At 47.5% G+C, this 16,616-nt stretch overlaps 1 long non-coding RNA gene across 1 annotated transcript; it reads right to left on the reverse strand.

Annotated features, from left to right (window-relative positions):
* Positions 1–3,290: 3,290 nt before the first annotated feature.
* LOC105378225 (uncharacterized) lies at positions 3,291–9,064 on the reverse strand. Its single transcript, XR_944406.2, has 3 exons — positions 8,935–9,064; positions 8,647–8,817; positions 3,291–3,506 (listed from the first exon to the last, which is right to left on the reverse strand). It is a non-coding gene; the product is annotated as an uncharacterized LOC105378225 (long non-coding RNA).
* Positions 9,065–16,616: the final 7,552 nt, after the last annotated feature.

The following is a 16,616-nucleotide window of genomic DNA, read 5'->3' on the forward strand; positions in this document are numbered from 1 at the left end:
ATCTCTGGAGGGGGCCCAGCAGGCCATCCCCCCACAGATTTGCTCCCAGCTCCAGCAGAGGCCAGGCCTGAGCCTCAAGAGCCTCGTCATAGCTGAGGGGCCCCAAGAAAGTACCATCTGCAGGGAAAGGCATCAAGAGTGCTGATTTCAGTCCCAGATCTCTGCTGGAAAGCCCTGTGACTTTGGGAGACCTTTACAAATATCCTAATATTTGAAGAACACATTATGTTTCACAAGGCTCTTTCACATATGTTATTTCATTCTGTCCTGAATCTCTTGGGGCCTCAGTTTCTTCACATCAAAATGAGGGAATTGAACTGACAGATGGCTTCAAGGCTTTCTCTCCCACATGCTAATATTTTGTGAGAGACTATGTTTTAAGGCATCTCATAGATTATATTGTTCGTTTTAGGATTTATGGTGCTAAGATGCTGTGTTCTGGGATCCTAGAAGCATCAGCTTCTGAAATTCAATGGTCTTTGATTCTCAGAGTATATGACTTTTTCATTCCATGATTGCATATGTCAGAGTTTCCCAGATTTTACTTGTTCCCGTACCACCTTTAGCACATAGACTGCGTCTGCATACCACCTGTATTATTATTCATTTAGTATTTTTTCTTTAAATAGAAGCTTTCTAACTTAAATAAGTGTCTTTAAAATGGAAACTTTATATCACTATTGCAAATGGAAAACCAGTCTCACCTGCCATAAATAAGAGCTAAAAGTAAAAATAAATACAATAAAAACAATGCTATTAAATTCTAACTAGATATTGTTGCTTGCCAAAGGCTGCAAGTCCAAGGCTTGCTCTTTAAAAAAATGTTTTAATATACATACGTGTATATATATATTAGCAAGGTTTAGAGAGGTATTAAAGACACGTTAGCATCGAATTGAAATGGTATAATGAGAAGGATTGAAAATATAACTGAACTTTTCATCTCTTTCTCAGTAAGTGGTTCCACGTTGTTCAGTGCTGTACCTGGGCATCACCTAGGTTCACTGTGGGGCATGTCCCTTCAGTAGGTTCACCTAGTGTAAAACTCCTTGTTCTGCCACATGGTAAAGGAACCTAAACTATCACCTCTCAGGCCACACGAATATTGTCCAGAGAGTCCATTTGGTTTCTTCTCTTCTGAGCTAGGAAGAGCTTTGCATTATTGCAAAAGCAGTCCCTCAGATTCAGGCCTGGGGCTTCCCTCTCATGGTCTTCCCCGGATAAGAAGAGGCAGACTAAAACCCCACAAGCCTATCACCTGGAGATTGTTAGAGATGTCAGTGGTTCTGGAGCTGCCAACAGGACTCAGCTGGACAGAAATACACTTTCTTTAGTGCAGGTCTGGTGACAGCTGGGCCTGCAAGTGATGCTTTTGCTTGTGGGGCAGAGAGAGCAGACACAGCTCTGGGGGTGCTGGCCTCCAGAGCCGGGAGTGGGGGTCTACAGGAAAAGCCTGTTGGAAGAGCTCAGCATACCCCGGGAGGGTCAAGGCTGGACTCATCCTCTCTGGGGCTGGCTGCAGAGCCAGGGTGGTATCAGGCCAGGCCTTGACATGTGGGCAGGAGGACCCAGGTTCTAATCCCACCTGCTGCTGGCCCACTGTGTGACCTTGAGCAAGGCCCTTTTCCTCTGCAGGGCAACATCCTCTCTGTACAATCGGTGCACATACTGGCTCTGACTATCTCTGCAAGGAGTAGGGGTATAAGAATGCTTGCTGGCTCACAACTCTATCTTCAGCACGTGGTTTCACTCAAATAAATGGCTGCTGCTATTATCATTATAACAATAATTATTATTTGGTCTTCACGATTCTTTGAGAAAGGGTGAGATGAGCAACAATTTTCTCATTGACAGGGGCAACATATAGAAACGTTTTCATACACAGAAGTAGTCCGTATATTTGATAACAATATTTCTTTTTCCTTCCTGCCAGGCGCCTTAGTGCCTGAGGGCAGCATCAGTCCTTGGCCTGGGCTCAGCTTCTGAAGCTGGCCTGATGACTTCTCTGTGATAGTGACATCGGCCTCACATTGAAGACAGCCTTTCTTTGTCTGACTCCAGAACAATATATGAAAAACCAGGGCTGCCTTTCCCCTGCTCCCTTCACCCCACACAGAGTCCCATCTCCAGGCCTTTGCTGTTGCTCTTGCTCTTGCCTTCCCCTACGATGTCCTCCTCTCTCCCTATGGCTTGATCCAGCCCTCAGAACCAACCTCCAAAACCCAGGTAATAGTAATAGTCCTGGCTCGGCCCCAGATTCTCTGATTGGCTGCTCTGGACCTCAGTTTCCCCATACAAAATAAAGGGATTGAACTGCATGACCTCCAAGCTCCTTCCAGTCGTGGCATTGGGAATGACATATGCAGTAGTGCCCACCATGAAAAGGAAATGACCCTGACTGCTTAGAGTCAACTGCTCAATGAAGACCCTGTCAAACTTGGAATCAGGAGAATGGGGACAATCAGCTCCATGACCCATGTGTATAGCCTTTATCCCATAAACTGTAGGCAACCAGAGGACAGAGGCCATGTGTGATTTACTAACCCTCACATCTGCAGGGTGGTCAATGCATAAAATTTGCTCAACAAATAATGATCAAATAAATATATGTATGCTTGAACTGTATGATAAGCATTCTTATTAGAAAACTGAAGTTGAAGTCAAATGCAATCAAGTTAACGCTCCTTGATTTTAAACTCCAAGGAGAGAAGCCCCCTCTTTCTTTTCCTCCAGGCTCAAACTGCAGCATTAGCCTGAGCTTGGGGCTGGGGGCAGAGAGGAGAACAAGGCTCTATTAACTTATTTTAGTTATCTAGAGAAAACTCACTTTTTTTTTTTTTGAGACAGAGTCTTGCTCTGTTGCCCAGGCTGGCAGGCAGTGGTACAATCTCAGCTCACTGCAATCTTCACCTTCCGGGTTCAAGCAATTCTCGTGCCTTAGCCTCCCAAGTAGCTGGGATTACAAGCACATACCACCAAACCTGGCTAATTTTTATATTTTTAGTAGAGATGGGGTTTTGCCATTTTGGCCAGGCTGTTCTCGAACTCCTGACCTCACGTGATCTGCCTGCCTTGGCTTCCCAAAGTGCTGGGATTACAGGCATGAGCCATCGCGCCCAGCCAAAAACTTCAAAGCTATGGGCATATTCAGGCTTTTTAATAGCTTTTCACCCTGCCTAGTATTCAATCATTGATTCCACAAACACTTCTTTTTTTTAACTTTTATTTTAGTTTTGGGGCTACATGTGGCTGTTTGTTACATGGGTAAACTTGTGTCATGGGAGTTTGTTGTAGAGATTATTTCGTCACCCAGGTATTAAGCTCAGTACCCAATAGTTAACTTTTCTACTTGAGAATATCTGTGTAGCTGGGGCTACAAAGAGTGTGAAGGACAGGCATGGAATTTGAGGAATCCGAATACTTGGTTTCCAGCCCCAGCTCTGATAGGAACTCTCTGTGTGATCTTGGGCAAATCACTTCTCTCCTCTAGGCTTTAGCATCCTCATCTGCAAAATGGAGTGTTGGACTTGTTAATATCTAAGGATGTTTCCTTTCTTATTATCTATGATCAACATCTTAACCTGTGAGCTACAGATTCCCAGAGCAGAGGGACTAGAATTTTTTTAAGAGGTCTGGGAAGTAGTCTATGCATCAACCATTATCTGTAAATAATATACAAAATTACGATTCCTTTTGTGTATGTTGGAGACAGGAGGTTAATCAACTTTGCATAAGGGCCTCACACTTGAAAGGGCAGAAGCTCTGGTGTGAATGGCACTGGCTATCATCCTGACTTGGACAGAGCTTACAGCCTAGCAAAGATATAACCCAAGCAACTTGAATACGATGAGAGAAACAGATGTGGGTCCTGAAAGTTCAGAGGCAGGAGAGACCAGTAAAAGGCAAGAAAGTTCTCTTAGAAGTCATAGACCCCACTGAGAAATTGAGACAATTATTGGCCTCCCCCCACTCCTACCATACCAAATGCACCAAATCTTACATACAATTGCCAGGTGATCACAGGCCTTCAAGTTCATCTCACAGAACTCATCACAGTTCTTAATCAAGGTTAAGAACTATTGATTTAGATAAACCTGTAAGCAGAAGTCGGGCAAGTCTGGAGCAAATCCCTAACTTGAATTCTTGAACCAGGGCACCATACAAGCTTGTAGGAGAGGCTAGAGACACTTTGGGATCGATGGCCCCAGGACCTGAGAGGTCTTGATCAGAGAGAAGGGGTCACGGGGAAGCTTGGGTGAAATAAGCCATGAGCCACCTTCTCTGTCTCTTCTGCTAGACGAAGCAATTTTTTATGCTGTTTCAGAAGGCTAAACTCATAAGCTTCAAAACATAAACAAGCAGAGCCTCTTAAATCACTGGGGAATTGTTTATGAATTAAATCATCTCTTCATAACAAACAGAGACCAGGCTGAGAATCCACAACCTCCATGATTAGATGTAGACAGGCAAGGAATCAAGAAGGGCCCCTGTGGGGATGAGACCTCATCCGAGATGGTCCCATTCAGAGGCAAGGCCAATGGCTAGAAAACCCTGCCTCTGTTCTCATGAGTGAGTTCCTTGGGGTGGTAGAAACCTGATGGACATGTAACAAGATTTAAAAGGTGAAAATATGCTTTTGATCCTGAAGTGGTAATCATTTTAAAGGCCACGGCCAACACCACCAGCATTACAATTACACTCAGCAGTCTCGTGGCAAAGGACAAAGGACGCAATGGCACAATGTAGTTTGATTGAGCCAAGGACATAGACCCCCTGAGTGACTGTGGGCGCAGGATGACTCCCGAGTGAGAGCTTCTCCCACTTTAATGTATATCTGAGTCACCCAGCATCCTGTTACTATTTGGATTCTGATTCAATAGGACTCGGATGCAGCTGAGATCCTGCATGAACAAGTGCCCAGGTGATGCCATGATGCTGGTTCCCAGGTCAAAATAATGGCAGTGACAGCAGAGCACAGCTAAATCCATGGACTCTGGGGTCAGATAGGCCTGAGTTCAAATCTTGGCTTCCTTATCCCACTGGCTGAATAATATTAGTTACTTAGCCTGTTTGAGATTCAGCTCTTTATCTGTAAAATAGGAATAACAGGCACGATTATTTGTTTATTCAATAAATATCTATTAACATCTTCTATGTGTCAGGCTTGTGCTAGGCCCTGGGGATGCAATGGTGAGACAAAGCAGACTCGGTTCCTGCTCTCGGGGATCTGATGGTCTTTGAGATGATGAATGTAAAGTATTTAGCACAGTGCCTGGTACCTGGTAAGAGCTCAACAAATGATACCTATTTTTATTAGTAGTAGCATAGTATCATCAATTTCAAGCACCCCGGGGAGAGAACTCTTCCGTTAAGCACCAACTTCCTGAAAGGAGTTCTGATTCATTCTGTAATAAAGGGAACACTGAGATGAAGAGTATATGGTCCCACCACTTGAGGAGCTCCTGGTTTCATGGAGAGATGTGTATTTAGCCCAGGTGTAGAACAAGTTAGATGTGGGGTTCACTCTGTTCACAGGCTTGATCCAGAACTACTGGCCTCCGTGTGCTTCTCAAAGCTGACCTTCCTTCTCTCTTGGTTGCCCTGCCCCCAACCTTTGTTTTTTGACTCTGCCTCCCATTTTTACCCTTTTCCTACACTTTGACTTGAAAAATGCTTTACCCCCTCAGTAATGACTATAACCCAGCTCCTGCTGGCTAGACAGCCTGTAGACCTCCCACCAAAGCTACGTATCACCCCCTAGGCCTCCCTACCTTCCTGCCCACCAGGGTTATACAAATGGATCAATCTAGGCACCTGCTATGGAGCTCTGGAAGAAAATCACAAAGACTTGGAATGCTCTGCATTCCATTGGAATTCTCAATACGCTGAGTATCAGGAGGTTGGAGATCATGGATGGTGTTGATAAGGAAAAGGTAGTGTGCTTTCAGGTGGGCTGGGCGTAGACATCTAGGTCTGGGCCCTCCTGTGCCCCATTCCTGGTACAGACTTCGCTACAGTGAGGCTCTAAGTCAAGGCCAGTGAGAAGGTGGGAAGGAGCAGGGAGCAACTACAAGGAACAGCTAATGGAAGGAGACTCAGAGCCTTAATCTTCAAATCAACTGAAGCAAACCACAGAGACTTATTGAAATTGTCACAAGCAGCACTGGGGCCTAGGGATGAAGTGAGGAGTGGGGCATAGTCCCTGCCCTCATGGAGTTTACCATCAAGCACAGAAAACCAACAATGGCAGGGCATGACAGCATAGCGTGGTGGGCACCGTCATGGCGGACAAACTGGAACCAGTGCAGCCCATCAACAGAGGCTTCCCAGGAAAAGCACTTCAGCTGACACCTGAAGAAGAAGGGTGAGGCCAAGGACGGTGAAGGGAAGGAGCATTCCAAGATGAATGTACAGCATTCAGAAGGCTGGACCGAGAGGACTGCTCCATGTGGTCACAGAGAGAGGTGTGAGACATGGACCTGTTGAGGGGGCCAAGGGCAAGCCGCAGAAGTCTAACCATTCCAAGTGTCCAACTTGGACACCTCCCCGAGGGCAATGGGGAGCCACTGAAGGTTCTGCAGTACAATTCAACACCAGTTATTAGTCTGCTTTTACAGATGGGAAACTGAGGCACCAAGGAGGGGTTAGGTAACTGGCCAGAGGTTACACTATCAGAAAGTGCTAGGGCCAGGATTCCCTGCCATCTGAGTCCAGAGCCTACACTTTCCAGCACGTGGTTAAGTGCACACACAGGTACAAATACACATATATTAAAAAAAAAAAATACAGCCATGGCACAGGGCTCAGCCAGAGGCCTTACAGGCAAACTCTATTTAAACCCATTTAACAAGGAGCCTCTTAATGATCTCATTAGCCTGGACAGGGCCCTTAGGAAACTTGAGGCAAGGCCCTGCTTTAAATGGGGCTTCTTTGAAGTGGCCACCACCTGAAGCAGCCACCTGAGTGGCGGATAACAACGAGGGCCTGTGAGCCCTGCGCCCGCTTGGGCTGCAGCCACGGGGCCTCTAGCACAGCAAGACTTGGCCTCGGTGGGGCCCAGGATGCCTGTCGGGTTGCTGTTAGCTCACTCCCAGCCACCCTCTCTGCAGGCCCATTCAGATGGGCGATCTGGCTGGCCAGGCCACAATGAGGTCATGCGTCATGATGGCGGTGGCCAGAAGGAGACTGTGGCCTTCCCTAGGCCTCACCCTCTCATGTCTGGACTCCAAGCTCCCCTCGGCCTGGTCTGGCTCCTGATCAGGGATGCCTCATGGTTCTCCCTGATCCCAGGCTCTACCTCCACCCTGTCTATCCCCAGCTGCTCTCATCAGTCCTCTTGCTCCTAGATTGACACCCTTCCCTTCCAGCCACCCAACCCTGATCTCTTCATGATCCCCTTAAGGGTGGGTGCCTGATCTTCCACATGAGCAGCTATGAGACCCCACCCAAACATCACCCCCAACCCCAGTCACCCTAGATGCCTACTGCTCTGGTCAGCCTGGGGCCTCTGGGCCCCCTCTCCCTCTGCCTGGGGGAGAGTCAGCATCCCAGCAGGGCCAGCCCACACAGCTCCCAAGCTGCCCCAGAAAACGACTGGGGGTAACTGACCTTCTGAGGAATATGCACCTGGCCAATTGTCCCACCACGGGGTTGCAAAACCCAGACAGGCAGAAGGAACCGATTCACCTTTCCAGAACTGCATGAGGAGGCCCTCCCAGCAGGCTGTGGCTGCCGCCCTGCCTATTAATAGTCAAGCAGCTGTTTGCCTCTCTGAATGAGAGTCTTTATTGCAAGCTGCGTTGACAAAACAGATCCTGCTCCTTCCTGCCCAGAATATGTGGGGGTGGAGGGGCCATAGTGAGATGTGCCTTCCTTCCAGGGACATTGAGAAGATCAGCACTGGGACAGACCTTAGCAGAGACCCCTTGAAAATCAGGGCCAAGCTCATTCTCACCACCTCCTCAGCCCCTCACTCACTCCTCTGCTCATGTTCCCAGTTTCAGCCAGCAGCTGCACTGTTCCTGGGTACTTTCACAACATTCTCGTCTCTCCTTTGTACCACCCCAATCTAGAAGCCTCAAAGTTGAGGGCTTGGGCCAGCGTAGTGGCTCACGCACGTAATCTCAGCACTTTGGAAGGCCAAGGGGGGTGGATCACTTGAACCCAGGAATTTGAGACCAGCCTGGGCCACATAACAAGACCCATCTCTACAAAAATACAAAAGTTAGCTGGGTGTGGTGGGTGCGCCTGTAGTTCCAGCTACTTGGGAGGCTGAGGTAGGAGAATCACCTGAGCCTGGCAGTTTGAGGCTGCAGCGAGCCATGATCCTGCCACTGCATTCCTGCCTGGGCGACAGAGTAAGACCGTGTCTCAAAATAAAAAAAAAAAGTTAAGGCCTTTTCTGACATCTGGCCTCACCTCCCATGCCCCACCCCCTCAATCAGCTGAGTATGTGACTTGACATTCTCTCCCTTAGCTCCTGGCCTTTGCACATGCCATTTTCTCTGCCCGATGCTCCATTTCCCCAGATCTTCATGTGATTGATGATCCCTTAAGTCATGGCTTGGAAGAGACCACACTAGGAAGGCTTGTCTCCCAAAACCAACCTCAGTGTGCCTCCATGCTCTGCTGAACTTACTTCCTTACCTGAAGTTCTTTCTGGGAGGGTAGAGGTGCGGCCTTTTTCTTCCCTTACTTTCCTCTACCAGCTCCCAAGACACTGACACTGAGATGAATCAAAGAAAGATACATGAATGCTTCCATCTCCTTCCCGAAGCCCCCACACTCTGACCAGTCAGCAAGTCCTGTTCATTCAACCTGGTGAAGAACGAGAGATCTGGAAATAGGTTGCCTGGGTTTGAATCATGGCTCTGCCACTTATCAGTTGAGGGACGCTTGAGTAAGTCATTAACCTTGCAAAGCCTGTTTCCTTACCTGTAAAATGGAGCCAATCATAGTTCCTGCTTCCTAAGGTTATTGTAAGAAGTCAAGGGATGGCTGGGCGCAGTGCTTCATGCCTGTAATCCCAGCACTTTGGGAGGCCGAGGAGGATGGATCACTTGACGTCAGGAGCTCAAGACCAGTCTGGCCAATATGGTGAAACCTCATCTTTACTAAAAATAAAAAAATTGGCTGGGTGTGGTGGCATGCTCCTGTAATCCCAGCTACTCAGGAGGCTGAAGCAGGAGAATTGCTTGAACCCAGGAGGCAGAGGTTGCAATGAGCTGAGATTGCGTCACTGAACTCCAGCCTGGGCAACAGAGCAAGACTCCATCTCAAAAAAAAAAAAAAAAACCGTCAAGAGGCAATGCTTATAAAATGCCTAGCCCAGCATCTGTCACAATCAGTAAATGTTAGCTGCATAAATAATTTTACTCAATGTTTCAACCTGACCACAGAAACTTCCCCTATCCATGCCTCCTCCACCCCCATTTAACCATCATCCACAGTGGTGAATGTCACAAAGCACATGCTGTCAGAAATGCCTGTGTAGCTAACAGTCGTGCCATTGAACAAGTGAGGCACGTGGGGCCAGAAGGAACACAGGACAGAGCCATGAGCCTACATATTAGACCTGATGGCTTGGCCACATTGCTGCATCTCGGCCTAAGGAGCTAAGCTTGTGGCTGCCTGTGGGTCCAACAGCCTGCAGTGTCAGGTCTCCCAGGAAAGGACCAGGTACCAGGGAGCCACTGGCTTCACATTAGAGCAGGCTGGCACAAGTTTTGGTTCCCATGGACCCTCAGGGTAGCCTAAGGCACGCTTAGGTCAGGAGTTAATGGAGTTTGGCTCCTCCTCTGCTTGATGGGTGCCTGGAGGTGAGGGCTGTGTAAAGGAAGAAGATGTGCATTTAAGCCTTGGTGCTGATGCTCTTTGCCTGCTGGAGGTTGGCTGGCTGCTCCTGCTCCCTTGCGCTCCAGAGCCTCTTAAATTGTCTTCAGAGAGGGAACACTAATCCCTGACTGGTGCAGGACTTTTCAGTCCCCAAAACACATCGATTTTCATAATCTCACTTGATCCCTTAACTGCCCTCCCTGTGAGCAGACTAAGCCTCTCCTCAACTTGGCCAATTCTAAATGTGAAGGTCAGAAAACACAATGCGCCTTGCCTAAGGCCACAGAGTTATGGTGTGGTCATCCTGAGGCTGGAACCCAGGTATCCTTGCTCCCTGTCCTGTGCTCTTACCGCTCTACCTGGCTGCTGTCCAAGGCATTTAGTGGAATGTTCACTGTGGTGTGAGGGAACCAGGCTCCCCTTTTTTTTAATTCAATATTATTGAGCACCTATTAACTGTTAGCCATTGTATTAGGGATAAAATTACAGGCCTTTGTGGTGTGTGTGTGTGTGTGTGTGTGTGTGTCTGTGTGTGTGTGTGTGTTAATGGCTTTATTAAGGTGTAGTTGATAAACAAAAACTGCACATATTTAATATATATAGGACCCAGGACTTTCAAGCAAACAGCTCTAGGCCCATAAACATATGAAAAGATATTCAACCTTATTAGAATTCAGAGAGATGCAAATTGAGACCATTATGACATCCTTTTACACCCACTGGATTGGCAAGTAATTAAAGAGCCTGACAATACCAAGTGTTGGCAAGGATGTGGATCAACCAGATGCTTATACACTGCTGGGAGGAATGTCTATGGGAATAAGTGACTTGGAAAATCATTCCAGTATGATCTTGTAAAGCTGATCGATCACTTTCCCTGCAGTCTCACAGTTCCCCTCCTAGGCAACATATACTCCCAAGCACATACACACCCATGCTTACCATTGTGAACACACTGGTTGATAGAATCTTGAAATTCTTCCATGCCAGTTGGTAAATAGCTACTATTCCAAGTCTCCCCCACCCATTTACCTGTGACCACCTGTGATCCAGCTGCCCCCAGCCTTTCCTTTAGGTATCCACCCAAACTCCCCATGATCCAACAACTAAAATGTTAATACCCCATAGACTACCCCCAGGACCACATTCCAGCTCCACAGCGTCCATTCTGATTGCTCAGTGCCCTCACCTCTCCAGTTGTTTATTTTTATTGTGTCCACCCTAGAGAAACCCTTGCTCACATGCACCAAGAGAAATGCACAAGGTTATTCGTAGAATCAATCTTCTTAATAGAAACAACAATAACCACAACAACCACAATAACCAAACAACTATAAATAACCTCAGGTCCATGCAAGGGAGATGCCCAACCAAGCCACTTCCTTCTGTCAGCTCAAAGAAGCTCCTGCAGGGTTCAGGGCAGACAGAAGAGATGGGCTCTTTTTTTTTTTTTTTTTGAGACAGAGTCTTGCTGTGCTGCCCAGGCCAGAGTGCAATGGTGAGGTCTCGGCTCACTGCAGCCTCCACCTCCCGGGTTCAAGCGATTCTCCTGCCTCAGCCTCCCGAGTAGCTGGGACTACAGGTCTGGCTACAGGACTACAGGACTACACATCTGGCTAATTTTTGTATTTTTAGTAGAGACAGGGTTTCACTATGTTGGCCAGGCTGATCTTGAACTCCTGACCTCATGACCTGAGATAGGCTCATTTTCTAGTGGGATCCAAGCCCAGGCAGATGGTCATGCTCACTCTGTGCCTTAGGGTTGTATCTTATTTACCATTCAAGGTAGCAGTTAGCATTCTTAATCCCATTTTACAGGTAAGGAAACTGAAACGTAGAGAAGTACTATAACTTGCCCAACGTCATACATCGTAGAGCTGGGGTTTGAGCCCATGTCTTTGTGATTTCAAAGTCCAAACTCTTCTTCACTAGTAGGGGCACATTACCATAGGTGGGAGTTCTTGGCATGTGGGCCTTTTTCACTTGGGATCCCCAGCAACTGGCACAGAGCCTGACACAGAGGAAGACGCTCAGTGAACAGACTGATACAGCAAAGCAGTCAGTCGATCCACTGTGACTGACTTCAGCCTCTGCACTGAGCCTCACTTCCTACTTACCTCCCTGATTCCTGAAATCCAGGCCAGAAGACCATTTTGCCCTGAGATCCCTTGTTTCCTGATCTCCTGATTTTGAACCTGGACTTGCAAGATACATCTTCTCTGAGACCACTCCAAATATTTTAACACAAAGACTGTGACTCTAGTCATTCATTCCTTCCTTCCATTATTCCTATGTTTTGTTTTTTGTTTTGTTTTGTTTTGTTTTTGAGATGGAGTCTCGCTCTGTCCCCCCAGGTTGGAGTGCAACAGCACGATCTTGGCTCATTGCAACCTTCACCTCCCGGGTTCAAGCAATTCTCCTACCTCAGCCTCCCGAGTAGCTGGGATTACAGGCATGTGCCACCACACCCGGCTAATTTTTTGTATTTTTAGTAGAGATTGGGTTTCACCATGTTGCCCAGGCTTGTCTCGAACTCCTGAGCTCAGGCAATCCACTCCCCTCGGCTTCCCAAAGTGTTAAGATTACAGGCATGAGCCACGGCATCCGGCCTTATTCTTTAAATATTGATTGCACACCCATATGTGCAAGGCACCGAGCTGAGCTTGGGAGAAACAGCAGTAGCCACACAAAGTCCCTGCTTTCTGGAACTCTCAGCCTGCCCTGGGTGCCCCCAACCTTGAAACACATTCCTCAGAGCAGCTGGGTGCTGACATGAAGCCCACACGCCTGGCTCAGTGGCCCTTCAACCCAGCAAAACAGCAAATCCAGGAGGCTGACACTGAAGTACCTGGGTGTTTTGTCCCCACATGCCTCCTGTCTGACCTTCTGCCTGAGGAAAGAGTTTGTTTTTGCTCCAGGAAGAGAGGTATAGCTGTGGGAAATTCAATGTGCTTATTTATTTGTTTGGCTTCCCTAATTTAATCTTCTCAACAAATAAAAATAAAGATAGCATGTTTGCCCAAATAGCAAAAGGCCCCACCTGAGATGTTATTACGCTTTCCAGAATTAGTCACACCATTACTGCTAGTGGCCAACGTGCCCAGGGCAACTGAGGGTTAGAAGCCCAAGCTCCCAGCCCAGCTCTGCCGATGATGGTTTGATAACAGAGATGTCATTTCACCTCTTCAAGTCTTGTTTCCCTCCTTTATAAGATGAAATGCTTGATGCTTACAAAGTCAGAACTTTCACATTCACTACCTCATTTTGTGTTCTTAATATGCTGTGAAGAAGGCATTTTGATCCTATTTTACTGGTGGAAAAATTAAAGCAGAAGAGACAGAAGAGTCCAAGTGACCCAATTGATAAGAAGAGGCAGAGACAGGAGCCGAATCCAAGCTTCCAACTCTTGCCTGGGGTCCTTTTGTCCTCACCAGGGTTTCTCATACTTGAGTAACATACAGATGCCTCCAAAATAATTCTCACTGGCCCAAGAATATGCCCAGAAATCTTAGGAGTCTGCAGACACAAATTTAAGAACCTTCTAAGTTTGATTTACAGCAAAATCTTGGTTTATTCAGGTGGCTGTAAAGTCATTGATTACCCCAGCGCCAGTGTGATCACAAAGGCAAACATCAACACAGCATTGAAATCACTTGTCCATACAATGTTATAAGGCAGATGTTCAAATTATCGAAAAATATAATTTTTTTTTTGAGACAGAGTTTCGTTCTCATTGCTCAGGCTGGAGTGCAATGGTGCAATCTCAGCTCACTGCAACCTCCACCTCCCGGGTTAGAGCGATTCTCCTGCCTCAGCCTCCCAAGTAGCTGGGATTACAGGCGCTGCCACCACACCCAGCTAATTTTGTATTTTTAGTAGAGGCAGGTTTCACCACGTTGGTCAGGCTAGTCTCGGACTCCTGACCTCAGGTGATCCACCCGCCTCAGCCTTCCAAAGTGCTGGGATTGTAGGCGTGAGCCACTGTGCCTGGCCTAAAATTTTTCTTTTTTTTTTTTTTTTAGAGATCGAGTCTCACTCTGTCTCCCAGGCTGGAGTGCAGTGGTGCAATCTCAGCTTACTGCAACCTCCACCTCCTGGGTTCGAGCAATTCTCCTGCCTCAGCCTCCCGAGTAGCTGGGATTGCAGATGCGCACTGCCACACCAGCTAATTTTTTGTATTTTAGTAGAGACAGGGTTTCACCGGGTTGCCCAGGCTGGTCTCAAACTCCTGAGCTCAGGCAATCCACCCGCCTTGGCCTCCCAAGGTGCTAGGATTACAGGCATGAGCCACTGCATCCGGTTAAAATCTTTAATTATTTTAGATTATCATTGAAATGAAAATTAAAAATCAAACTCTTGAAGAACTTGTCGGAACCGTCCCCTTTCCCATTCTGAGATTCTGTCAGGCTGCCTCCACATTGCCTGAAAACCCGTCCCTGTTCTAACATTCTTTGAGTTTCCCTGGTAACCATCTGCTGGTGGAAATGACAATTAAGCTGTTCAGCTGCCTGGTTCACTTAGTTCCCCCATTATGGCTCTGTGCCAGGGTCAAGAAGGCCTGAATTTACCCACCTGCAGCAATGGGCCAAAGGAGAGAGATCCTCTCAGGGACAGGATGAGTCTCAAAACACAGAGTAGAAAAAGCCTGCACCTGGACGGACATTGTTCATCCTTCCACCACCTCATCCACTAATGCATCCGTTCTGCATTCACTCTCGCCTGTTACATTCCAGGTCCACATTTGTGGGAGAGAAGATGGGGTGAAAAAATAAGCAAGGTTTACCTTGGTGTATATAATGTACTACTATCAATATTGTGTGCCTCTGTGTGTGTGTGTGTGTGTGTGTGTGTGTGTGTGTGTGTGTGTGTATGCAGTCATATCTAAGCCCTGGTAATATTGCATCCTCCTGGGAAGAGAACCGAGAAGCTGGGGAACAGAGGATGGGAGCCCAGGAGATTTACTTTTCTCGGTACCCTTTGCATACCTTTACACGTTTGCATCATGTGTATACATCATCTTCTCCAAAAACAGGTTTCAGTTTTTGAACTACATTCTCCACTGGAATCCAGTGCTCTGGCCGTGTGAGCAGGCTGACCTTTCAGAGGTGGTGATGGTGGGGTGACTCGCGGTCAGTAAGTGGGACGAAGAAGGAGGCATCATCCAGACCTATTTGCCATGGGTTCTATGGCCTTGTCCAAGAGGCTGCTGGACCCAGAGGCCTCTGCCCACCTCCCCTCCAAACCTGTTCCTGTGTATGCTGTGCCCAGGATTGAACTGCTCAGAGGTGATGGGGTAGCCCCCTGCCATGGCCTCAAGAGACCTGTTTGTGTGGGCTGGCACGTGGTCACATATGAGTGAGAGTCACCAGGCACGTGTGTCCTTTTCTTTCCCCAGACAAATATTCTCTTGGAGCCCTCAGATGCCCTCCCCACCCTGCTGCGAGGGTGACTGGGCAGCTTTGAGTGGCCATGGTGTATGGAGGCCATGGGATACATCCTCCGTCCTCTTCCGGTTTTCTTGAGACATCACGTATGCCACTTCCATAAGTTCCTGCTTCCAGAGTCACCAAGCATGGCCCCAGGAACAGCTCAGAACCCAGGGCCATGGGTGGGAGGGAAAAGGAGGGAGACTGGTGTCTCATGTCTCGCATGTCCCAGCTCCTCCAGAGACTCAGCTCCACTTGCAGATGCAAAGTTAGATTTGAAGAGACTGTAATCTTGGGGCCAGGCAAGATTAGGACATTCACACTGGATGGCTCTCAGGGAGCAGCGTCTTCTGAGGCTTTTCTCAGTGAGTCCTCCCTCTCCCTGGGGGATTTCAAGACTTCCCACTGTGCCTTGACCTGCTTCCTCCAGCCTCATAACACCCCTGAGAGCTCAAGACAGTTCTCTTCCCTATTTTACAAGTAAAGAAGCTGAAACCCAAAGGTAAAATGACTTATCCCCAAGTTCACCAGCCTATAAATCACTCAGCCTGAATTTCAACCCAAGTGGGCCCTGCTCTAAAGCCCGTGCTAACATTCCACCTGAGGTCAAGGCCTCCTGAGGAGGGTGCCACACCAAGAAATGGCCTCAGCTTGCTGCGGATTGTAGAACCCCAAACAATAGAGGAAGACATTGACGCAGTTCATTATATTCAAACCTAAAGCCTTTGTGCATCGCAAGACTGCATACATAAAGTGAAAAAATAATTCACAGACTAACAAAAGACAGTCGCAGCAGACCACAAGATTAGAGCTCCTGCAAATCAATAAGAAAGACACGAACAGCACCATGGAAACACGGACAGGGGGTACAAGAGGCGATCCACAGAAGAGGAAATCCAAACCACTAGCACAATTATGAAAACGGTTTAACTCCACTCTTCAGAGAAATAGAACTTAAAAACAAGAACGAGAGACATTTGGCCCCCATCAGAGTGATAAACATCCCAAAGTCTGACTATTGCCAGGTCAAGTCTGGATGTGGAGCCACAGAAACTGACCCTTTCAGATACAGTCAGGCAATGGCAGGGAGCCCCAAGATACTCACACACCCGGCCATTCTTCCCCAGGCACATGCAAGACACGCATGAGGATGGTCACGGCAGTGCGGTTTTTATTATGGAAAATTGGACATCATTCAAATGCCCATCAACAGGAGAATGGATTGATAAACTGTAGTACATGCCCCTACAATGAAATTGATTGAATAGTGGATATGTGTATACTGGTGCTCTGCACATCAAATGTGGATAAATTTCAAACACAATGTTGAATGAAAACAAGCAAGTTGCAGAAGGC

Source organism: Homo sapiens, chromosome 5 (assembly GCF_000001405.40).
Source record: "Homo sapiens chromosome 5, GRCh38.p14 Primary Assembly".
NCBI classification, from domain to species: Eukaryota; Metazoa; Chordata; class Mammalia; order Primates; family Hominidae; genus Homo; species Homo sapiens.